The 25,178-nt window shown below is 38.7% G+C and overlaps 1 pseudogene, besides 4 other annotated features; it reads left to right on the forward strand.

Moving 5' to 3' along the window:
* Positions 1,781 to 3,856: an enhancer, noted in NCBI's record as "cre1". NCBI's record gives the evidence for it as "EXISTENCE:reporter gene assay evidence [ECO:0000049][PMID:17409199]".
* Positions 2,646 to 3,676, forward strand: LOC100131241 (SERPINE1 mRNA binding protein 1 pseudogene; annotated as a pseudogene).
* Positions 3,525 to 3,553: a protein binding site, noted in NCBI's record as "GLI1 site". NCBI's record gives its function as "mediates Shh stimulation of enhancer activity" and the evidence as "EXISTENCE:protein binding evidence [ECO:0000024][PMID:17409199]".
* Positions 22,492 to 23,248: an enhancer, noted in NCBI's record as "OCT4-NANOG hESC enhancer chr17:69028546-69029302 (GRCh37/hg19 assembly coordinates)". NCBI's record gives its function as "activates a minimal SCP1, AML or CMV promoter by ChIP-STARR-seq in naive and primed H9 embryonic stem cells {active_cell/tissue: H9 hESC(naive and primed)}" and the evidence as "EXISTENCE:reporter gene assay evidence [ECO:0000049][PMID:30033119]".
* Positions 23,249 to 24,003: an enhancer, noted in NCBI's record as "OCT4-NANOG hESC enhancer chr17:69029303-69030057 (GRCh37/hg19 assembly coordinates)". NCBI's record gives its function as "activates a minimal SCP1, AML or CMV promoter by ChIP-STARR-seq in naive and primed H9 embryonic stem cells {active_cell/tissue: H9 hESC(naive and primed)}" and the evidence as "EXISTENCE:reporter gene assay evidence [ECO:0000049][PMID:30033119]".

A 25,178-nucleotide genomic window follows, 5' to 3' on the forward strand; every position in this document is an offset into this window, starting at 1 on the left:
AAAGTCAAGTCTATCAGTGAAGGTGAATTACTGCTAACATCTTCAGTGTAACGAAAGATACGTGAATTTTGGCAACAATATTATTCATTTGAATTTTTCTGTGTCCCAAATGTACTTAGGAGCAACAGCAGAACCAAGATCCCAAGATTCTACAGTTTATTTATAAATTTAATATAAGTCTTTCCTGCTCCCTTCTTCTTTTTTTTTTTCTCCTTCACAAAATAAAATTGTGTTCCATTCTTATATAGGGCCATTTTAAGGAATTAACTATTGTGGGGAGTCAGCATCATAAATAATTTGAGTTCTTTCATAAGAACTGGAAAATTGTCTAAGCAATTGCCAGTTAAAATAATGGTAGATGCGAAATTAAGTCTTCCGCTGCAGTGTGTAAACTGAGTAGCAGTTGTGGCATGGGAAGGCATTTCCCTCTGCTTATTTATTTACCGTATTTTCTGGACCCTCCTATGGTAGGAAAAGCCTGAAGACACAGTCACGAATGGCCAAATGTAGTGGCATGGAAGGCACCTTCTTATCTATTTATTTATTTATTTTTCTTTCTGCATCTTACGAAGACATGCAAATATGGGAAACACTACCAGTCGGCAGTATTTTTGTAGCACGAGCTGCATTATGGGCTGTTGATGTGTACATATGTGGATTTTTCATCATCCTAAAAACACTAGGGACCAAGTTCCATGAACATAATGTGTATATGATTGGGATGCCATTGGGCTTTTATTGTCCTAGTACAAGCTGTATTTTCTGGCTGAATCAAGACAAGAACACTTATTAATAAAAAAGGAAAACATCAACATATGGAAAAAAAATCGTAAGCTATTTTTCTGACTCCATCTGTTTTCCACCCACACAATTTGCTCACTACAGTTAATAGGAAGCTGTGGTGTACTTCTTGTGCTTCATAGCTCTAGAATAGAGAACATGAGATTACGATATTCGCGTTGAGGTAGTACAGTAATGACAAGGCACTGTGTGACCTCATGTAAGTGGGATCCAATACCACTCAGGTGAACAAAAGCTTTCTCTAACTTTACACAGTTTCACGAATAGGATTTTTTATACTCTTTGGACTCTTCTAATGCAGGAAAGGCTTACAGCTGTGGCAACGGCCAGCCATGTCTTTGGCCTTAGCTGGACAAGCGGTCCAGTGGATAATCTGAACTACATCAGGGTGCATGTTGAGTTTGAAAGGGAGGGCTGCCTGGGAGCGGTGGCTCACGTCTGTAATCCCAGAACTTTGGGAGGCCGAGGCGGAGGGATCACCTGAGGTCGGGAGTTGGAGACCAGCCTGACCAACACGGAGAAACCCCATCTCTACTAAAAATACAAAATTAGCCGGGCGTGGTGGCGCATGCCTGTAATCCCAGCTACTCGGGAGGCAGACGCAGGAGAATTGTTTGAATCTGGGAGGCTGAGATTGCGGTGAGCCAAGATCGCGCCATTGCACTCCAGCCTGGGCGACAAGAGCAAAATTGTGTCTCAAAAAAGAAAGAAAAAGGAAAAAAAGAAAAAAAAAAAAAAAAAAAGAAGAAAGGGAGGGCCATACGAAGGAATGCCCCTAAAAGCACGGGGGAAAAAAAGAAAAGAGGACAATCACAGAAGCTGCCAGGGCACTAAAGGAGGAAAGTTCTAGTTTAGTGTTCAGATGGCCCCCAAGCTTTGGAACATTGCCAACTATCCGTGCTGACGTAAGTGCAGACTCCCACATCTAAGATATGCCATTGTAATTCCTATTTTTGCTTTTCTGCTGCTCAACCTGATTCTCCTTTCTACAAGGAAAGTCACTAAATGCTATAATCAGACCCAATAGAGCATTTATCAATGTTTTTCTCATTAAAAAGTAATTATATGATTTAAATATAATTTGGGAGAAGATTACCTAAAATAGCATTTCAAAAATCAGTGCTAAAAGCAGTTGGAAATATTCACATGCATATGAGTCTCATGATCACATTCACATACTACCTAGTTCTTAAAAATGGATCATACTCTATCATCTGTTTCAAATGTCTTTCAGGGCTGCCTGTTACAATAGCCGGAGGAACATGCCACAGAGTCCCCGTCATGGCTAGGACCTTACAGGAAAGCTTTGGCTGCATGGTCACCCACCAATTGGACCAGCTATTTGACCATGAATTGGACCCCCTCAAGGTGCTGAAGGTAAGAAAGAATAAGAATAAAGAAGCTGTTTGAGGGGCGGTGTTGGAGGCCCTGGGGCCAAGACTGCAGCTCAGGCCATAGCTGAGACCAACTCCAAGGCATCAGGGACACAGCTGCCTAAAAAGTCACAGAAAGGCCTTTCCGTGGTGGTGCAAGCCTATAATCCCGGTGCTTTAAGAGGTCAATGTGGGAGGATTGCTTGAGTCTAGGAGTTCAAGACTAGCCTGGGCAGCAAAGCGAGATCCCGTCTCTACAAAAATTTAAAAAGTACCCTAAAACTTAAAGTATAAAAATAAATAAATAAATAAAGTTATCCAAGCATGGTGGTGCATGCTTGTGGTCCAAGCTACTTGGGAGGCTGAAGTGGAAGGATCCTTGAGTCCAGGAGGTTGAGGCTGCAGTGAGCTATTACCATGCCACTGCACTCCAGCCTGGGTGACAGAGCAAGACCCTGTCTCAAAAAGATAAAAAGAGCCCCAAAAGACAACAAGAACCCACTGCCCCCTAACATTTGCATGATTGACAAGAATTATCATGATTGACAAGAAAGAAGAGACACAGCTGCTCTGTCACTTAAGAGAGAGGGAGTAAGATGCCTGAGAAGAAGGCCTGATCAACAACTTCAGAGGGATGGAAAAATGATTGAGAGAAGACCAGAAAGGTGACCACCTCATGAGCGAAGATTTGAAAAGCCACTTGAAGAAAAGGAAGAAGGAGAAGCTTCAGTTGATAGGTTGATTAGTGACCTCTCATTGATAGACTGATTACTGGCCTTCCTGGTGGAGGCCATGGGGGTCTTGGAAGAGGTCGAGGGGGCGGTGGGCGTGGAGTGGCCAGGAAGATGGGTTTGATTCTCCTGGCACTCATGAGTATGATATAAGAGCAGTGCAAGCCACACAGCTGGCCTGAAGCACCAGGACAGACATGTGGGCGGCAGATGTCACAACTGGGGAACTGTCAAAGGTGGATTAACAGAGTCCCCAAAATTTACATTCAGAAACAATTATCTTATCATTGCAGTGACTTGCATCAATCAAATATAACTAAGGAAACCCTTGAAGGTGAAGAACATGCGGTGGCAGGCATTGAAAAGGAGGAGAATGAAGCTGAGGAGGTAAAGGCAGAGGCTCCAAAAGGGATGACTTTGAGTGAGTGGAAGGCTGTCCAACATAAGGACTGGGCGGAGGTAGAATTTCATGTCCGAAAACCACGTGAAGGTGGAAGAAGTTGGTTCTTCATAAACCAAAGAGTGAAAAGGCTCATGCTGAAGATTTGATTGTAGACCATCATTTCCAGAAGCCAGCAAATGATATAGTGTTCTGATATAATGTCTCAGCTGGAGATTAATTCTGGAGACCTTGGCCACCCAGGACAGTGGTGGCAGGGTAGGATGCCATGGACCTGGGCATGGTGGATGTCAGAACCATGGCAGCAGGATCCACAAGGCAGTTGCTTCTGCTCTTGACATGATGACCCAAAGGTACCCCCAGCTCTGGCTTACCTGGATGCCCTTAGACAACCCTGGTTCCTTTGCAGACTCTCCTCTTTAAAGCTGTTGCATGTTTAGTGCTTACAAATGACTAAGAAATGTTTTAAAAAGAAGATTGCTATTCATTCCATTCACACCTAAAGACTCAATTTTATCTGTTTTAGAAATGAACTTCTCTCGCTACACAGAAGTAACAAATATGGTAGTCAGTTTTGTATTTAGAAATGTGTTGGTAGCAGAAATGTTTTCATAATTTTCAGAGATTATGCATTTTTCATGAATGCTTCTGCATTGCTGCTTTAAAATACGCATTTCCAAATTTAAAATATGGATTTCCAAATTTAAAATATCGCTGTGAATGGTTGAAAAAAATAAGGGGGCTGGATGCTGTGGCTCATGGTTGTAATCCCAGCACTCTGGGAGACCAAGGTGGGCAGATCACCTGAGGTCGGGAGTTTGAGACCAGCAGAGCCAACATGGCGAAACCCCTTCTCTACCAAAAAATACAAAAATAAGCTGGGTGTGGTGGTGCATGCCTGTAATCCCAACTACTTGGAGGCTGAGGCATGAGAATTGCTTGAACCCGGGAGGTTGCAGTCAGCCGAGATTGCGCCACTGCACTCCAGCCGGGGTGACAGAGCGAGACTCTGTCTCAAAAAAAAAAAAAATAAAAAATAAAAAATAAAAATAATAAAAAAGCCTTTCAAGTTAATTCTATATTCTGAGCATTTTGTCATACATAAAAATATTTTTCTCTATAACATGGATTTTAGTATGAGTGTTATGTAGTTAACTAGCTATAGTTCTGATATTTCAAATTTTTGTTTAGCATGATTTGTAGCTTTTCTGCACAGGCCTGTATATATTATTCCTGTTCTTTCTTTCTTTCTTCTTTCTATTTTTGTTTGAGATGGAGTCTTAACTCTTTCTCCAGGCTGGAGTGCGGTGGCACGATCTCGGCTCACTGCAACCTCCAACTCCGTTGTTCAAATGATTCTCCTGCCTCAGCCTCTCGAGTAGCTGGGATTACAGACACGCGCCACCACGTCCAGCTAATTTTTGTATTTTTAGTATAGACAGGGTTTCAACATGTTGGCCAGGATGGCCTCGAGCTCCTGACCTTGTGATCTGCCTGCCTCGGCCTCCCAAAGTGCTGGGATTACAGGTGTGAGCCACTGCGCCCGGCCTGTTGCTGTTATTTCCAAAAATATATAACCTAGATTGTGAATTGCAGGACCAAGTGACTATTTGTAAGACTTCTGATGAATACTACACAATTGTCCTCTAGAAAGAGTCTGTCCATTTTATCCCCACAAGCAGCTCCTCTTGTTTTTAATATGCTGGTGTTATTTTTAAGCAACGTGGATAATTTAGGCTATAAAACCCCATAAAGCATCAAAATGTGGAAAGAAATATCTATCCTCCTCCAATTTTATTGACGAGGGCTTAGAAGATCTCTAGGAATAGCATTCTTACATACAGTTACTTAAGGAATGGAGAGGGCACTCACACTCACTGGGTCTACAATTTTCAATTTTGAAAGTGGGGAAATAATCTTAACTGTATTTGTTCTCTTTACAGCAGGATGCTCATGGGCTCCCAGGCGACAGCGTGAAGAGACACAACAAACGAAATCTCATTGTAGGAGAAACATTAACAAAGGTGAGGAATGTCCTTTGGAAAATAAAATTTTTGAAGGATCCTAGACACAACACAGGGTACAACCAGTGAGTATCTCCATGTCCTACAGTGGGATTAACATTTGAAATTCTTGGACTGGAGGAGAACTTGTTTTCTGCTATGGGAAATAAAGAACTCTCCTCTGTTGATAAACTGCCATTTACTTAATGTACATTGTGACCTGCCAGTTTACCGCATTTAAATTAAATTGCAAGATTTATGAGATAGAACATTAAAATTATAAAAATAGTGATGAAAAGGATGGCAAAACTGCACTTATGTATGCACCAACCTAATGAAACTATCAAAATTGTAATTCTGTTTACCAAAGGTAACCAGAACTAAAGCTTCATACCCAAAACAATTTCAAACTAATATAGTGGGATGAAGAAGACTTCTAAGCATCCTTAGCCAAGTAATGAAGAGAATCGATGTAAACATGATACAATATGAAGGAAAGTGTCTAGCCTTTGGAAGATGACGGACCTGGATTTAAATCTCAGCTATGTGAAACTGCATGCATTCCATAACTTCTCGGAGCTTCAGTTTTCTAACATATTAAATGTGTATAAATGTTCTCTTGTCTTTTTTCCTTTAATTTATAAGGATTTGGGGGATAAAGTATGCAATGGGCTGAATGTAGGATAAAATATTCAATAAATCATAATTACTGTCATTAGAATTAAGTGTAAAATTGCAGAGAAATATAAATATATTTCCTGAGTTTTTTCACCACTCTCCTGTCCGTTGGCAAATCTCAAGTTTTAAGAGTATGCCTGGAGTCATCATATAGCCCAATAAATATTTAATTCATTTAGTTTTATTCAAATCCCCAATAATTATGAGAGGTGTATTGCATTGGGCTAGGTCCTAGGGTTACAGAGATAAACAATTCACAATTTTACTCTATGGGGCAGTCTTTTCTAGGAGAACCAAAAATTAGAGTATATATAATAACTGTCCAAAGACTGAGAAAAGTCTCCACTTATTCATACAACTCTCAAGCTAATAATCAATTACTTCTCCATAGTCTCCCTGCTTTCTAGACGAAATATAACTAATCATTTATCTCTCCTTACATGGAAACTCCAAGATCTGTTTCCTTATTTTTCTAGACATTCTCTAGCCTTTGCCAACAGTGCCATGACTTTCATTTTGAAGACTGGTATGTACAAAGTGTATGACCCACTTTTGAATTAAGAATTATAAAGGAATTCTTAATGACCTGGGAGCAGATTATTGGAATTAAAGATTATCCATGGACATTTTGCTTTTAAATTCATAGTAATATTTTCATTGGTTCTGCTAATTATGCAGTTTGTGGAAACAAACGGGATATTTACTTAAGGTTAGACTAGGGAGTAGAAAAATTTTCAAAGGCCAAAATAAGTATCTCTGGCCCTAGGGAAAGTGTAAAACAGCAACATTTGCAAAAGACTGCTTTTCTCTTCAGGTTGGTGGTTTGGAATAATCAATCTCAGAAGTGATATATAAATAATTTCTTTTACAGAAATAAGAGAAGAGCTAAGCATAAAGGCAAAATGAGAAAGGTGACTTTTCCTCATTAAACTTCATTACATGGCTGGGCGCAATGGCTCACGCCTATAATCCCAGCACTTTGGGAGGTTGAGGTGGGCGGATCATGAGGTCAGGAGATCGAGACCATCCTGGCTAACATGGTGAAACCCTGTCTTTACTAAAAATACAAAAAATTGGCTGGGCGTGGTGGCACGCGCCTGTAGTCCCAGCTACTCAGGAGGCTGAGGCAGGCGAATTGCTTCAACCTAGGAGGTGGAGGTTGCAGTAAGCCGAGATGGTGCCACTGCCCTCCAGCCTGGGCGACAGAGACTCTGTCTCAAAAAAAAAAAAAAAAAAAAAGAAGAAATAATAAATAAATAAACAAACTTCATTACATGAATCATTAGATTATTTTAAGAACTGAAAAAAAAAATCCACATATCACATCACTACCATCATATTCAAATAAAAACTCCAAAAATCAAATGGAACCATTTGAAAAGTGTTCTCTCTTTAGAGTTAACTGTGGTGTCCCTCCCCTGTACCTCTACCCTTTTTTTCCCCCTACCCATTAGTGTGAATAACTGATAGTTGACTGTGTAAAATATCAGGTGAGGTTTGGTGTCCTTAGGACATAGAGTATACAAAGTGCCATGGTTAGTCATAAAGAAGACAAGACACTCCTTCCTTCCCTTCTATGAGTGAAAACACTGCATAATAGAGACAACTTTGACATTTTAATTTTCTTTTCTTTTCTTTTTTTTTTTTTTTTTTTTTGAGATGGAACCTCCCTCTATCATCCAGGCTGGAGTGCAGTGGCGCAATCGTGGCTTCCAAATCCTGCCTTCTTGGGCCTTTTATGGAGACTTTATTGGATAGGCATGATTGACCACTGTGTGGAAATGTGATTGGACAGAAAGAGCACGGTCTTACACTAATGGACTGAGTGGGGAAACCCAGCAAGTCCTGTCTGTTCCGATTCTTCTTGGTCTCTGTGCATTGTTCCTTCCTCTAGGGTATGGGGCAGGACCCCTTCTGAAATGGGGGTCTTATGGCCCACAATCAGACAAGGTGGGTCAGATAATTTCTTTATGGCCAGCTCCAAGATGGAAAGGTAAGGGAAGATTCCTGCCATGGGGAGAAAAAGAAACAGGTGAAAAGAGAGTGGGAGATGGTCAGGGAGAGAGATTCTGTTTTCTAAGGCTTAAAATTCCCCAACATTATAGAAAGCGCTGTAAGAGCTATGAGGCATGAATCATTAACAAATATCCAGATTCTCTATGTCTATGTCTATATTATAATATCAAAACATCTGTACATTTTCCTTTAAATAAAGGAACATATCTATATGCTTAATATATGCTTTTTACCATTTATCTGCATAATTCCTTCTACCATAAATAATGTTTTCCTAATTCATATCCCTGCCGAAAATTAAAAGAAAAACAATGGAGTCAGTGTTGTTAAATAATTTATTTAAATGACATCATAATCCAGCGCTAAGATAAATGCTCTAAAATCCTGAAATGTGGGTGAATCTGTTGCTTGGTTTGCAGAAATATCTTGTTTCCAAATTCTGTAGACGCTGGCTGAACAGGAGGAGAGACAGACAGAGAGGGAAATAGAGAGCAAGACAGAGAAACATAAGGAGAGACACACAAAGACAGACAGAATAGAGATCAGGATGCAGCATCATTAGAAAAATACTTCTAAAATACTGGGAGAAATCCCTTTGCTACGGATGCTATCGCAAACATCTTTTGGGTAATATAAAAAACATTAATACATCGGCCGGGCGCAGTGGCTCACGCCTGTAATCCCAGCACTTTGGGAGGCCGAGGTGGGTGGATCACGAGGTCAGGAGGTCGAGACCATCCTGGCTAACATGGTGAAACCCCGTCTCCACTAAAAATACAAAAAAAAAATTAGCCGGGCGTGGTGGCGGGCGCCTGTAGTCCCAGCTACTTGGGAGGCTGAGGCAGGAGAATGGCATGAACCTGGGAGGCGGAGCTTGCAGTGAGCCGAGATCATGCCAGTGCACTCCAGCCTGGGCGACAGAGCAAGACTCCGTCTCAAAAACAAAAACAAAAACAAAAACAAAAAAAAAGCACATTAATACATCCTCATAATTGACTGGAAAACGCACTCTGGGACTGCAGTTTCAGGGTTTTTTTTTTTTTTCGTTGTTTTTCCTGAAGCAGTACCTATGTGGTTTCACTGAAGAGAAGCATGACCTTGTTCTTTAGCAGACCATGTTGGAAATTCAGGGAAAAGGTGCCAAGGATTTCTTAGAAATGTATTTCATGGTACAGTATCAAGGGGCAGTATTTATTTTGGATATGCTTCCACTGAAGAATTGAGATGCTGTGGGGGAATTTTGTTGTTTCCGCATATAATGTTAATGGTCCTAAATTAATTACAACTCTAAAGTTAAAAGGTTCGAATGCCTTAATGGTTCTTTTTTTGTTTTCAAAATTCTAGAGGGATTTGGCTCTGAACAAATCCTGCTCCTCACCTATCAAAGGATCCAGTGTGTTTTAATTCTGTTACTCACCCAAACGTGTATTTCTTTTTCTTTCTCTGCTCGATCTCTCCTAAAGAAATACTGCCAATCGAAAACAAATTGGGTTCAAAAATCTATGAAATAAATTAGTCTGCAAATGATGCTTTAGGAATTAAGCCAGTGTTTTACGGGAAAGGAAAGATGTTTACCTACTGTGATCCCTCTCATAAAAAAAAAAATTAAAATGTTGGCCAGGTGCGGTGGCTCACGCCTGTAATCCCAGTACTTTGGGAGGCTGAGGCGAGCAGATCACCCAAGGTCAGGAGTTCAACACCAGCCTGGCCAACATGGTAAAACCCCCATCTCTACTAAAAATACAAAAAAAATTAGCCAAGCATAGTGGCACGTACCTGTAATCCCAGCCCTGACCTCAGACCCTCCACACTTTGGAATGATTTAGAAGTGTCATCTATGACACCCCAGATAGGGAACTGCTTGAGCCCCAGCTCTTAATTTCCCTTCTTTGAAGCACTTTTTGGTCCTTTCTCCAAGTGTGGGGTGGAACAGATAGCCCTGTGGAATAATCTGGGCCCTAGGTGTAGGGAGCGCTGAATTCAGGAGGACCTAGCAGGTGGATATTTTGCATCTCAATTACTGTCTTGCTTTCACCTCTTTGTTTACTATCATTCTTGACAATTCTGATATCCATCTAAATGAACCACCAACAGCCCACCAATTCCTTCACTTCTTTAGATTCTACAATGTTTCTTCTCTCATTTCACTAAAAAAGCCATTGACTCACATGGTCACACTCAAGACTTTTAATCACCAGTAACTACACCAATTTGAAAATCTTAATTTCAAACCCTGCTGCTTTGACCATCCATCTACTACTAGTCATTTCACTTACTCTGCTTCTCTCACTCCAGAAATTGACTGATTCACCCATACCTCCAAGCCATCAAAAGCATTATGTTTTCTGTATGCATAAAATCCCTTTGCATCTGAGTCTTCATTTCCCTTTTTAAACAACCATCCTCCATGGTCTAGTACTATAACCAGTCCCTTGCATATACTCTGAATTCCTATGCTCCTCTGTGCTTCAGTGAAATGTTGGCAATATCTATCCCTAATTAACCCAATCAATCATTTACTCAATGCCTAGATCTGAAAATCTGAATACTCTTTGAAGTAACACACGTAACAACTTCATGACCACAAATCCCAGAGAAGCCTCTCACATTTCCAGACAATTTTAGCATTTTAATCTAATTATTTTCCCTTCTCAAAGGTGACATTTCTCCACTGTCTCTTTCCTGAAATTTTTCTCATTCTCAGCTGAAAATTTGATTCATATTTAATAAAATAGATCCAATCCAGTGCCTTATCTTATTACAGCTACATCCACCAAAATACCTGCATCTGTATCACATGTTGTGTCATCTCTCTCTTTAAAATCTATGAACTTTCTCTGCTCTTATCTAAGAGCATGGATACTCTGGATCCATACTTTCATACCTTGTTAGGACCTCACTCCTAGAACTCCCTCCTTTTACTTCTGTCTCACCTTCTAATGGTTCATTTACATTAGTACTCATGTAGCAGGACAAGTTGCAGACAAAACCCCTCAGACACCGAGTTAAGGAAGGAAGGGCTTCATTTAGCCGGGAGCTTCAGCAAGACTCACATCTCCAACAACCAAGCTCCCCAAGTAAGCAATTCCTGTCCCTTTTAAGGGCTCACAACTCTAAGTGGGTCTGTGTGAGAGGGTCGTGATCGATTGAGCAAGCAGGGGGTACGTGACCGGGGGCTGCATGCACCGGTAATTAGAACAGAACGGGACATGGATTTTTACAGTGCTTTTCTATACAATGTCTGTAATCTATAGATAACATAACCGATTAGGTCAGGGGTCGATCTTTAACTACCAGGCCCAGGGTGTGGCGGCAGGCTATCTGCTTGTGGATTTCATTTCTGCCTTTTAGTTTTTACTTCTTCTTTCTTTGGAGGCAGAAATTGAGCATAAGACAATATGAGGGGTGGTCTCCTCCCTTACTCAAATATGCCTTAATATCACCCACCTTTAAAAGAAATTTCATAAACTCCAACATCTACCTTCAGTTACTATTCCATTTCTCCATTTCATTTGCTAGAAACGGCCATCCAAAGAGTTGTCTATAGTCTGATTCCTACTTCCTCAGCTTCTGTCCTGTGCTCAGATTTGCCAAATGGACTTTCATTACCATCACACTATAAACATTTCTCATAATAATGTTACAGACAAAATTCATCCTTTGGAAGATGATGTTCATTCTCCATGTTCATTCTAAATTACCTTTTAACGTCAGTGGCCCAGCAGCAGATGACCAGTCCCTCCTTCCTGAAACTCTTTGTTCTCTAGGTTTTTTTCAACCCCAACGCTCACCTTGCTTGATTTTCTACCTCTTCTTATCACCCTTTCTTCCTCTCTTTTATTTGCCCCTTCTCCCTTACCAAATCTCAACATATTAGAATGTCCCAGAGCTCCCTCCTCATGCCTTCCTCTCTTTTACAGCTTTACCTAAATCTCAGGATAAAGAATCTCAAATTTTGATCTCCAGACCTGTCCCCTGAGCTCCAGAGTCCTCTATCCAACTACGTACTTGAGAATTCTGCTAGGATACTGAATTTCCATCTCAACAGAATGCCATCAAAAAGCAACATATTCATTTTCACTCAGAAGGTTCTTCCAAAGTTTTTTAGACATTTTAGTAAACAACATTACCACCACTTTGTCATGTAGAAGTAGAATCTAAAGACATTTCCCTGGTTCTGTTCCCTTCATCATGCAAAACATCTACTCCATGAATGAGTCACATCGCCTCTGCCTCCAAAATATTTTGTAAATCCAAACACTTTCTATCATCATACTGCTAAAATTGCTGAACAAGGTCAGTCATCTGTTACCTGGATTATTGTGACTTATCCAGTTACGCTAGTTAAGCTTTCTAACTCGTCTCTCTACCTTTGGTCTTGCTACCGCTGCCTTCAATGCTACCCATCTCAATATTCTCTTCACATAGCAACAAGAATATTTTTTTTTCTTTCCAAATTGGGAGTGTTCTCACATCCTTACCCTGCTTAAAATCTTCTAATTGGCTGGGCATAGTGGCTCACGCCTGTAATTCCAACACTTTGTGAGGCCGAGGCGGGTGGATCACGAGGTCAAGGGATCAAGATCATCCTGACCAACATGGTGAAAACCCATCTCTACTAAAAATACAAAAATTAGCTGGACGTGGTGGCACATGCCTGTAGTCTCAGCTACTCAGGAGGCTGAGGCAGGAGAATTGCTTGAACCTGGGAGGTGGAGGTTGCAGAGAGCCTAGATAGTGCCATTGCACTCCAGCCTGGGTGACAGAGTGAGACTCCATCTCAAAAAAAACAAAAAAACAAACAAACAAAAAAACACAAAAAAAATCCTTCTAATTGTTTACAATCAGATTATCCAGACTCCTCAGTATGGCTTACAAGACACTGGATGAACTGAAACTTGTCTACCCATCTGTCCTCTACTATCTCAATTCTTCCCACGTTTGTTATGCATATGCTACAGTGTCTCCCTTCTGATTTAAATTTGGCATATCCATTATTGTCTCTGGACTTTGCATTTGCCATTTCTCTGCCTGGGGCACTTCGTTATCTGAAATTTCCTTGGCTGCCTGCTTCTTATCATTGAGGTCTCAAATCATAGCTAACCTTTTTAGGGATACCTTTCCTGACCACTTTAGTTAAAGCGGACACCTGATCTCTATCTCATCACCCTATTTTTATTTCTTTATCACCCTTTTTTTATTTCTTATCAATAGTTGGAATTCATATCTTACTCATTTTTTGTTCATTTTTAGTATCTCCTCTTAAACCCAACTGAAAAGCAAGCTACTGGAATGCTTCATTCACGGTTGTATCCTAAAACCTAGTAAGGAAATTGCCATTTTGGTAAAAACTTACCAAAGCTGTTTAGTGGACTAGCTATATCCACCTCCGCTGAGATCTAAACTGCTCAGCATGCCTCACAGATTATAGCAAACTTTAATGCACTCTCATCGGCTGACTACAGGCAAGTAATCAGTAACAACGCAACTCACTGCTTCTAACAGTTTTCCATAGATTAATATAGGATGTCTCTACCTCACAGGGCAGACTGTGCCAGGAAGTCATACACTGGGTCCAGTCTGGTTGAGTCAAACTAAGGTACCTGGGGTTTTGGTTTTGTTTTGTTTTGTTTTTCATTTATTGTGGAGCACCGATGACAGTGCATATTAATAGAGGACCTCAGTGCCTCTGGGGTCTTGGAAAGCAACCTGGTCATATGAAAGAGTCCTCTGTCCCTCCTTTCCTGAGTGTCAATCTTTAATTTAGAAGAAAAGAAAAGTACAGCTTTTTTATTTGGCTGTATTAAAATTTATGGGGCAGGGTGGTTTTCAGGCTGCTGCTCCTGCCAGGCATTGCTCTGATGATGTATGACTGTGACATGTCACCAGTGTAGCCAGCCTCTGATGATCCATTGCAGCAGCAAGTCATTTGTCATACATCACTGCCTCGACAGCTGCCCCCATCTGGGCCTCTCCTATGTACTCCAGCAGGGAGTCCTGGCTTAAAACAAGCTCCGTGCTCCTTCTGCACTCCCACGGCCACTGCGTTTAGCATGTATTTCTTACCATTAGTGAGAGAAAAGAAAAATAATGGTTAGTGGCAAACTGCTGGAGTTTTAAAGGTAAAAGGTTTACATATTCTGCTGTCATAAGCCAAGAGCAAATAATGATGATTAGGAAGATGACTTGATACTTTCAGAATGCCACATTAATATAAAAGCACTCAAAAATAGTGATGTAGCATTCATTCTCTGCCAGCTATTCTTCTAAGGATTTTACATATATTAAGTAATTTAATCCTCTAAGAGTCCTTAAGAGATGGTATTATTATCGCCCATTTTACAGATTAAGAAAATGGGGTACAGAAAGATCAACCTGCCCACTGTCATCCAGCTCAGTAAACAGAAGAAACAGCATTTAGACCAAGTCAGCTGAAATCTGAAACCTTTGCTCTCAACCACTATGCCTTGCCGTATATACTTTCAGACACGGTTCTAGTGGTTCTTCCCAGATGCTTATGTTGACCCCTGCATTCCAGGACCAAATAAACACACAGACACTATGCAGGCATTTTATTCAATTTGTAAAATGTACTTGTTATTAATAATAATTATTATTAAAGATAATATCATTTAACAATTGCATGATAGATTCTAGGGCATATGATAGGTAGTTTGCTAATGTTATTAAGTTTCCCAACTTTGCAAGGTATTGTTCTATTTTCTTTTGTTTTGAATAGATGGATAGAGGAGTACATTAAAAAGTTACTGAAGATGTTTTCAAAACAAGCCATTTGCAAAAGGACTAAAGAGAGAAGACCAAACAATCAGGGACAGCTATAAATTGAAAAAGTGAATGAGTGACTGAAATTGATTTCTGTAGAATAGTTGAAATGCCATTTGTATATATTTTAAATAAATAACTCAGTTAAAATCGATTTAAATGTCATTAAAACAGAGTTTATAGTATTTACTTTTCTATTCCAACTGAAAATTAGTATTTAATGGCTGGGTTGGGAAGGACTCTTCACAGATTCATATCCTTTACAGTTCCTCGCATTCAATTACAACAGGTACATCTTTCTGTACCAAAAAGAAAAAAAAAAGGAAGCAAAGAATTATTATTATTAGGGGTTTTAATGCATGAAGCATAAATAAACGGATTCAAACACTGTAAAGGAGATAACCTTGGATTTTGAGTGTCTATTATCAATGTCCTTTATTTTAATTGTAATGAATTGGGGCTATGGGAGTAAAGACATTTTTCCTACCTGTTGATAATTTCATTACTTTCAACAATTGTAGTAGATTCAATTTCAACTGAGGTAAGAATGTGCTATGAGCAAATACTTGTTTATTTCACTTATTGGAAAACAAAATTTGTTAATTATATTTTCTTTATATATTAACATGTATCATATATTAACATTTTCATAAATTATTACACATTTTTAATCAAATCTTTACATAAAGCACACACATATGCAAGCTTAGGAAAAGAATGAATGAATAAATGAACCACTGAATGGATTCATTTGAGGAATATTAGCATTTATTAATTTCCTTTCTAAGCTCTTAAATTAGAAAAACTTGACAAGAAATATTTAAATATTGAAATAAGAGTTTTAAGAGTTTAAAAAAACTCTTAATTTCCAGTTACTAAATATTTCTCTTAAAATTATTGTGCTAAGAAACCTTGCTCATTATGGAAAACAATACCCGTAGAATAAGGTGGCCCTGGAGCACTTTGCGGCATGGAAAAAGGAAGGGAAGAAAGGCCTAAGACTCTTATAATTATTCAGTGAGTTCAACTACTTAAAATTTGCCTGGACTTCTCAGCTGTGGTTTCCACAGCATTTTAATAAACATTGCAACACAGGACTGGATTTCTTTTTAATTGAGCATTTCTGAACAGTCATCTTCCTCTTCCATCCATCAGCTCTGTTTATGTGTTGCCTCATTATCTTCAATTGCAGAGTGGTGTTCTGAATTCAGCTGGAGAAATAGCTACCGGCTGCCCCAGGTTCTCATAGAAGGCAAGAGACAGCCTTCTCACCAGCTCTAGCAATAAGAAGGGATCAGTGAATTACAAGTTTGCTTTCCCCACACCAAGGTTATTAGTCTGCTCTTCTTTAATTCTCACGTTCATTTGAACTTCACTCTTGTGTCTCTACTTTCTCATGGCCACTTCCGCTTAAATGTTCTACCATTGCTTGAAACTCCACATACTTCAAATTGAATTGATCCTATCCTGTTCTCCAAAAAGCCTACTTGATTTTCAGTTTTCTAAATATCTTCGATTTAAATGTCATTTTCTTTGATTCCCAAACCTTCTTTTTTTTTTTTTTTTTTTTTTACTCTTCATGTTCAGCAGTCACTGGATCCCATCATTTATTTACTGTTCTTGAGAAAGTCTCTTAGATCAACTTTCCTTTCTGCTTCCCAGAGGCAAAACCGTGTACTCTAAAAAACTCATAGAATTTGGTTACACACAGATACGGGTTCATGTCCCTGAATTTCCAGGTACTAGTTCTGCAAATTTGGAGGAGTTGTTCAAGCTCTCTTGATTTTATTGTCCTTTTTTATAAATGAAGAAAAACACATGACATCTTATTTAGTTTTTATGATGGGTGTTATAAAGTTTAAATAAAATTATTATAAGTTTAGAATAAATTATTTGACAGTTTCTACTACAGTAGCTGTCAGAGTTGGTGCTGTGTAAATAACTGTTAGGTTGTTATTGCAGTTACCAGCCTAAACCCAGCAAACCAATTTAAAGTGGCATAACCCAATTTAGACTAGTTAAAAAATAAAAATTAAAAACGGCTTTTAAAAAAAGTATTGATATGGAATGACTTCAGGCTCAGCTGGGTCTCAACACCCAAACTATTTCATCAAGGTTTTTTTTCTCTCTTTATTCTTTTCACCTGTGGGATAATCTCAGGGATTAACCTCATTCCCTCCCACTACAGTTAAGTTTCTTTTTTCGTTTTTTGAGATGGGGTTCCACTCTTGTTGCCAAGGCTAGGGTGCAATGGTGCAATCTCAGCTCACTGCAACCTCCACCTCCCGAGTTCAAGCGATTTTCCTGCCGCAGCCTCCTGAGTAGCTGGGATTACAGGCACCTGCCACCATGCCCCTAATTTTTTTTATTTTTTATGTTTTTATTTTTAGTAGAGATGGGGTTTTACCATGTTGGCCAGGCTGGTCTCGAACTCCTGACCTCGGGTGATTCACCCACCTCGGCCTCCCACAGTGTTGCGATTACAGGCGTGAGCCACCAGGCCCGGCCAACTTTCTTCATCATGGCTGGCCAACAGCTTGTCTTCCCATTCTTTCAGCACTATTACAAGTAAGAGATTGTTGTCTCCAATGTCAGAATATTGCCAGGGGAGAATAGCATGGGGCATGTGTCCATAATTAAATAAAATTATTCTGACTAGAGGAATAGGGCTTCTTAATAGATCGGTTTTGGGTCTCATTCGGGCCTTAGGAAAAGGTCACAAAATTGAAGTGACCTCAGGATTACATGGCATAGTGGACAGTTAAAACCCTAAGAAAGAAATGCTCGCCAGGAACTCAACAGAAATCCACAATTCATTCTTCTCAGAGGATTTGGGGATCTAGTCTTTTATATTTCTTTTCTTTTTTTTCTTATTTTGAGACAGAGTCTTGCTCTGTTTCCCCAGCTGGGGTGCAGTGGCGTGATCACAGCTTACTGCAGCCTTGATCTCCCCAGGCTGAAGGAGTCCTCCCACCTCAGCCTCCCATGTAGCTGGAACTGTAGGTGTGTGCCACCATGCCCAGCTAATTTTTTTTTTTTTTTTAGTATTTTGTAGAGATTGGGTCTCACTCTATTCCCCAGGCAGGTGTCTAACTTCTGGGCTCAAGCAATCCTCCTGTCTTGGCCTCCCAAAATGCTGGGATTACAGGCATGAGCCACCGTGTCCAGTCTCTCATATTTTTAATGACTACTACAAATCACTACTAGATTAACCAATATAAACTATATTGTATTTGATAATTTAAGAATTTCTTCCATTTTAAACTGACTACATTTGAATTCTCCAGAATTTAATTCCAGTTCAGCATTCCCAGTAATGAAACTTCCTAAACCAGGCATCTTGCATTGTCTTCTGTTTGTATTATATTTTGCCAAACTCATGTTTCCTGCTTTTGCTAATACTGTCAGTTTCACTCCTAAGCATTTCTGGATTCATCTGCTCATCTACCCAAATACTACTCAAACCTTAAGGTGAAAACACAAATTTCAACTACTCTGATAGAGCCTTTCCAATACATTTTAGTCTGCATTTTGCAATATCTTCCCCAAATACCTATAGATGACAGAGATTTGGGAATTAGTTCCTCAAAGACTTATATATATCTTAGAATCACATTTTGAGCTATAATTGGTGGAAGAGAAGTGAGGTAAAAAGGAGGGTAAAGGCAAATTTGCGTGTCCCCAATTTTCTACCCTTTATAGCCAATGCAATTCTGCCTTGCTTTTTTGTCTGAATGTTTCAAAGGAGAATTCTTTGGTTAAGTAATATTTCAAAATTCCTGAAGCATTTTCCAGTCTTTATCAATTATTTAATGCATTATTATAAACTATTATTTGATCAATACCTGAAAATATTTTTTCTCTGCAATAACAATATAAGTTCCTCAGTTAGAGGACTTGTGTGTTTTGTTTTTTATTTTTATCTTTGTATTTTAAATGCAAATCCTATGTTATGCAAAAACACTAAATCAATTAAAAATTCATTTTACCACATAAAAAGAAGCTATGGGATACTGGATATATAAAAGTAATTTTAAAGTACTTATGCATATACTTCAGAACAAGGTTATACAAGATAAATGCAAACAATTTTATCTGTCATTTAAAAATAAACAAATAGAAAGCTAACTGACTAGCTGTTAGAGAAAAGTAATAAAATTGCCACCCTCAAAGAGAAAAAAAGTAATTTCAGTAACTCTCACAATTAAATATTTATCAGAAATAAAGATAACATGTTTCTGAGATTATAAGAAAACCTAAAAGTACATAATTTATTTGTGTATTAGGGTTCTCTAGAGGGACAGAATAGGACAGATCTCTCTCTCTACACACACGCACACACACACACACACACACACACACACGCACACACACACATATATATATATATATATCTCTTTGTCCTGTGCTGGATGTTTTCTGCCTTCAAATATCGGACTCCAAGTTCTTCAGTTTTGAGACTTGAACTTTTAAGGTCGTGAAACAATTCTATATAATATTGTGATTGTGGACATAGCACACTAAACATTTGTGAAAATCCACAGACCTTTTCAGCACAAATAATGATCCTTAAAGAAATTATTTTAGGAAGCTGGAGGATCCCAAAATGTAACCTTACTGTATTACAAAATAATGATCTTTAAATAAATTATTTTAGGAAGCTGCAGGATCCCAGAATGTAACCTGACTAAATTACAAATGTATGAAACAACCTTACTCAAGAAGGTGGAGGATAAAAGTGCTGACTTCATTAATTAATTTTGGAAATGAGTTGAATCCATGAAACCAAAGGCAGAAGGAACTTTTTATAAATCCTACATAATAGTTGATAGTGTTGGATTGTATCACAAAGTATAAAAGAAAAACCCATGAGTGCATACTGGTATCAATTAATTATTTTATATATAAATAAATGCAGGAGAATAGAAAAATCTCCCACACAGAAGGATTTCAAATAATTTATGTAGATACGCTGCCCTCAGGGAAGTGGGGCCTAACTCCTCACTTCTTATGTTTAGGCTGCCTATGTTCACTTTGCTGTAAAGAGAACAGTACAGACAGGGAGTAAAAGAATAACTTTATGGCGGAGAAATCTGACAAACACTATCTCACCCAGGTAATCAAAGCTAACATCCACAGAGATAAGTTATGTTGATAAGATGCATCCTTGAGATGGTGTAATGTAAATGACACTTTACCTCTGTGGTCTTCCTCCCAAAAACTCATAACCCCAGTCTAATAATTTAAATAAACAAACAAAAATTTCCAACAAATACCAGTAAAGCAGCATTCTACAAACTACCATCTGTAATACTCAAAACTATCTAGGTCATCAAAAACAAAAAAGATCCAAGAACTTGCCACAGACAAGACGGTCCTTAGGAGTCATAATAACTAAATGTGGTAGGATGTATTGAATGGAATCCTAGTATCAAAAGAATAACTTTAGTAAGAAGTGAGAAAAACCTGAATAAATGATGTACTTTAGTTAATAGTAATCTATCAATGTCGGTTCATTAATGGTGACAAATATATACCATACTAATGTGAGATGTTAATAAGAGAGGAAACAGCATGGGAGGTATAAGGGCACTCTGTGCTATCTTTCCTTTTTTTTTTTTGCAACTCTAAAGATATTCTAAATTGAAAGTTTATTAAAAACAAATTAGCATTTTCCAAACTTATTGACAGTAGGCTTTATTTTGCAAAACACAACACACGTGCAAAAGAATCCCTTGAGTGCTTGGTTTGACAGATGTTCTTAAAAACATTTTTTAGCGTAAATAATTGAAAGTGTTAAAGGAATACTTGGGAAAAAACAGTATCTTAAAGAGGGGCAGGGAAGGTAAAATTGCAACTAACCAAGCCTGTTTATCAGGATAGTCCATTATGGAGTTAAATTCTATGGGAAAAAGACTCACATTAAGAAGCAGAGAAACTGTTTCCATGAGTGTATCTTTAAAAAGTTAAATTATAAACTTCATTAACAGTGAAATAATGTGATTTAATTACTACAGGGGTTTAGCACATGCAGAGAACTCATTTTTTGAATGGATAAATAAGTACGGTTAGGGATCAATAAATGATACCCCAAAACATGGCGCTTTGGTATGATGAGAACTTTGAACTGAAGGACATTGGAAGGGCCTCAGAAGCAAAGTCTGGTTCTGACCTTCTCCTGCTCTTCTTTCTCCTGCTTCCCTTCCTTCCTCAAGCCAGCCCAAAAATCTAGAATTCCTCTTCCCCAAGGCAGGTCAGAGAAACAAGAACCCCTATCCCCCAGAGCCGCCATAAAACCTAGAAATATTGCTCTAAACTTCTGTTGCCTTTCTCTGTAAGGGCTGTCCATAAGAAATTCTCTCACCTATCTTGTCTGAAGGTACATCACGAGACCATCATTGAAGAAGGGGTTCTGCCCTATACCTGGGAGAAGGAAGGTCACACAGAAAGGCCATAAAGAATCTGAACAGACAGGGCTTGCTTGCTTTCCCCTCTCAGTCTATTCCTGTTATATCATTCCATTTTTGTCCAATCACAGTTCCACACGACTGTCCATTCTGCATCAAACCTAAACATAAAGATACCATTTGACCCAGCAATCCCATTACTGGGTATATACCCAAAGGATTATAAATCATTCTACTATAAAGACATATGCACATGTATATTTACTGCAGCACTATTTACAATAGCAAAGACTTGGAACCAACCCAAATGCCCATCAATGATAGACTGGATAAATAAAATATGGCACATATACACCATGGAATACTACGCAGCCATAAAAAAGAATGAGTTCATGTCCTTTGCAGGGACATGGATGAAGCTGGAAACCATCATCCTCAGCAAACTAACACAGGAACAGAAAACCGAACACCACATGTTCTCACTCATAAGTGGGAATTGAACAATGAGAACACACAGACACAGGGAGGGGAACATCACACACTGGGGCCTGTCAGGGGGTGGGGGGCAAGGGAGGGATAGCATTAGGACAAATACCTAATACATGCGGGGCTTAAAACCTGAATGACGGGTTGATAGGTGCAGCAAACCACCATGGCACATGTATGCCTCAGTAATAAACCTGCACATTGAGCACATGTATCCCAGAACTTAAAGTATAATTTAAAAAAAGGAATTTAGGGAAAATAGCCATTCTAAACACTAAAGTATTATCAATACTTAAAAAATAAAAAATAAAATAAAAAATACATAGATTGTTTTCCCTTGGGTCTTTGAGTCTTCATGTCTAAAGATTCTCATGTCAGATAAAACCTTGATTAAAAAATTTATTATGTTTTTCTCTTGTTAACCTATCTTTTGTTACAAAAGTGTGGCCGTGACCCTTGTGATGGCAAACAAAAGATCACACCTTTCTACTCTACTGTACTGTGAACCTTAAGATAATTTGTCTTCAAGATAGTAGCAGTAGAAGATAGTTTTTACTTGACTTACTAAAATTAGTAACAAGTAAAGACCAATTTGACAAATTCTCTTTGGAATATCCTGAAATCCAGCTGTACTTTTCCCTTGGAGACTTTCCTTGCATTAAGTAATTAACTTTGGTGTATTTGACCCTTTAGGAAAAAGGTTAAAATATTATGTCAGGACAATATACACACCCCTATTTCAGCATGGCTTAAATATTTTGGAGAATATGGTTGGTTACATATTCAGCAACATTCCATTTATTATGTTAATTGCCCCATGGAATTGTCAATTAGTTATTGGGCTCCCCAGTAAATTATTCCACCGTAAAAGACCAACTCTGTATTTGGAAAATATTTCAATAGATCTGGGCTATACCAATTGCTGTTTTTTCTCTTCTTTGCCTGCCACAGTGTGGTGGGAAAATGTTAATTTTACCCCCAATTTTCTCGAGCAGGTTTTTTTTTTTTTTTTTTTTTTTGCGAAGCAAGGGCTTGCGATTGTTAATATCTGTGCTACCATGGCCTCTAAAGCCAGACATTCCTCCTGAATATTCCCCCAGGCCAGACCTTTAATTCCAGGATGAACACCAAGGCCAGCAATCAATAAGTTGATTCTCCATCTGCCTTTGACAGAGGAATCACCAGGCTGACACCAGCTAGTCTGGGATCAGCTGTTTCCCTGCCTTTGATCTCCTCAGTTAGGGCTGTCCAAACTCCCATGGGCGTCTGTTTCAGCTTAGATACAGGCCACATCATGCTGATAACTCCTCCAAGGCCTATTGTAGCCATTGTATTTGAGGAGGGGATCACCTGTCAGAGTGACTGGTTACAACCCCTCCTTGACTGCGGGAAGCCTTTTTGATGCAGGGCAGATGATAATGAGAGTCTAATTGAGTGATTAACTACCTTGACTGACTTGGAGGTTTTAATGACACCTCTACATTAAGGTCTGCATTTCCCAGCAGGCTCCCAGTTTGTAACTGTATGGCCATGATATTTGCAATTATAAGCCTTTCCTTTAACCAGCAGGGATTTAACAAATGGACTTGGTTAATCACAGCTAGAAGGCCCTCACATCTGACTTTGTTATGGAAAAACATGTATAAATTCAAGGGCATGATTGATTTCTTAATACAGCCCATTCCAGGTCCATGGTCCTATACGTAAGACAGATACTATGTTTTTCAGAAGACATGGAAACTAACAAAAATATGTGACCGATGTACGTTTCAATAGAATAAAATGACCTTAAAGATAAGTGCTGGTTTTTAAGAGTTGCCACGCACATGATCCTTCTAAGCGATGAAAGTCTGCCTAGATATACTGTCTTTAATTAAGTGAGTCTGAAGGGCCTATTAATGCAATGTTAAAAGGAACCAGTCTCAGCGGGTCCTCACAGTGGGAAAAGTATCTAGGGCTTTCAATTTACAAGGTCTTGTTACAAAAGTGCCCTGCTGTTCTGGTCCTGTTCTTTCTGCCTGGGAGCAATTTAATGATCTGCTTTAGAGCAGAGAAATGGTCAGAGAGAAAACGTTCAGGTTTATGTGTTAGCGATCAAATGCCCAGTGGAATTTACAATGGTAACCAGACACTTCCTTTTCACAGCAAAGTAGAGCAGGGACAATGACATCAATACATTTGATTTGAAAAACTCTAATTGAACAAAATGGTAAGCCTTCAGTGAATGTTTGCTGATAAATATGAGGCTGATACTGAGCATGAAGCCAACACAAACGATACAGACAACAAGGGTGATGAAAAAGAAAAAGGAGAAAGAGAATGAAAATTAGGAAAGACAAATTCTTCAAGGATAAAAAGAGGTCTTTTGACTTGAAAGTTTCTTAATTAATTTGTTCTTCATTTATTCGACATTATTCAAGCAATATTCAAAATAATCTATCATGTTCCAGGCCTTCTATTGAATATGCTGGAGCAACAGCTGTCCAGAAAGCACTCGTGGCAAGTGAGGAATGCATGTATTTTTCTCCTTTATTCATTTAAGAAATCCTTGGTAAATGGTTACAATGGGACAGGTATGATGATACTCTGTTGATAATAATTTAAGTACCTATATTTCCCAGAACTAAGATGAAGGGGGCCTAGAAAATCCTTGAATGAATACATAGGTGAATATTTGCTGAAAGAGTCCTAGCCCAGTTAATGTGCTTCTAGTTGAAATCACGAACACAAAACAAATACTGATGATGAAATGCAATAAAAAATCCATAGGTATTTGTGCATCATGTTAGGGACCCATGGGAAAGAGGCTTACTAACTCTCCATAACTGAAGTAAGAAAACACAGACTATGTGAAATTTCAATGCATGTGATGAGTACTATTAGGGTACTGTTAGACAGGTGAAAATTCTGGGTCTGAGATGAGTTTTGGACATCTGTGTTTTTTAAAATAACGACTGTAATATGTAAAAAAAAAAAAAAGTTTTCATTTTACAGATCTGGAAAGCCTTTATTTCCAAAGAAACTATTATAAACTGAATGCCGTAAGAAGAATTGCAGAATTTTACATTTTCAATTCTCAAACCACTGCCTTACCTTAGAATAACATATTAGAATAACAGGAAGGTAGGTGGACCAAGTGGATGCTTACATTTTGGAATTTAAGGAAACACTGTGAGATATTAACTCTACCTTCTTATCTGCACTACACTTTCATCACTAGAATTATTCTGTCTTCCAGTAAAAATGAAAAGGTTTCAGGACTGTTACTACGGCAGTCCAAAACAACTTTGAAATTTTCTTTAGTCTTGTCCGAATACTATAGTCTACATTCTCAGATTAACCTTTTCTGACCTTTAAACATACTGTATACCAGAAATGGTTCTGTAATAAGAGGAATTAGACCATTACCTTGAGCACGAAAAGGTCAAGTCCTACTCTAGGCTAACAGCCTCAGTCTAACTTAATAATTCAAGAATTATTTGCATTCAAAGATTGTTTAC

Source organism: Homo sapiens, chromosome 17 (assembly GCF_000001405.40).
Source record: "Homo sapiens chromosome 17, GRCh38.p14 Primary Assembly".
Lineage (NCBI taxonomy): Eukaryota > Metazoa > Chordata > Mammalia > Primates > Hominidae > Homo > Homo sapiens.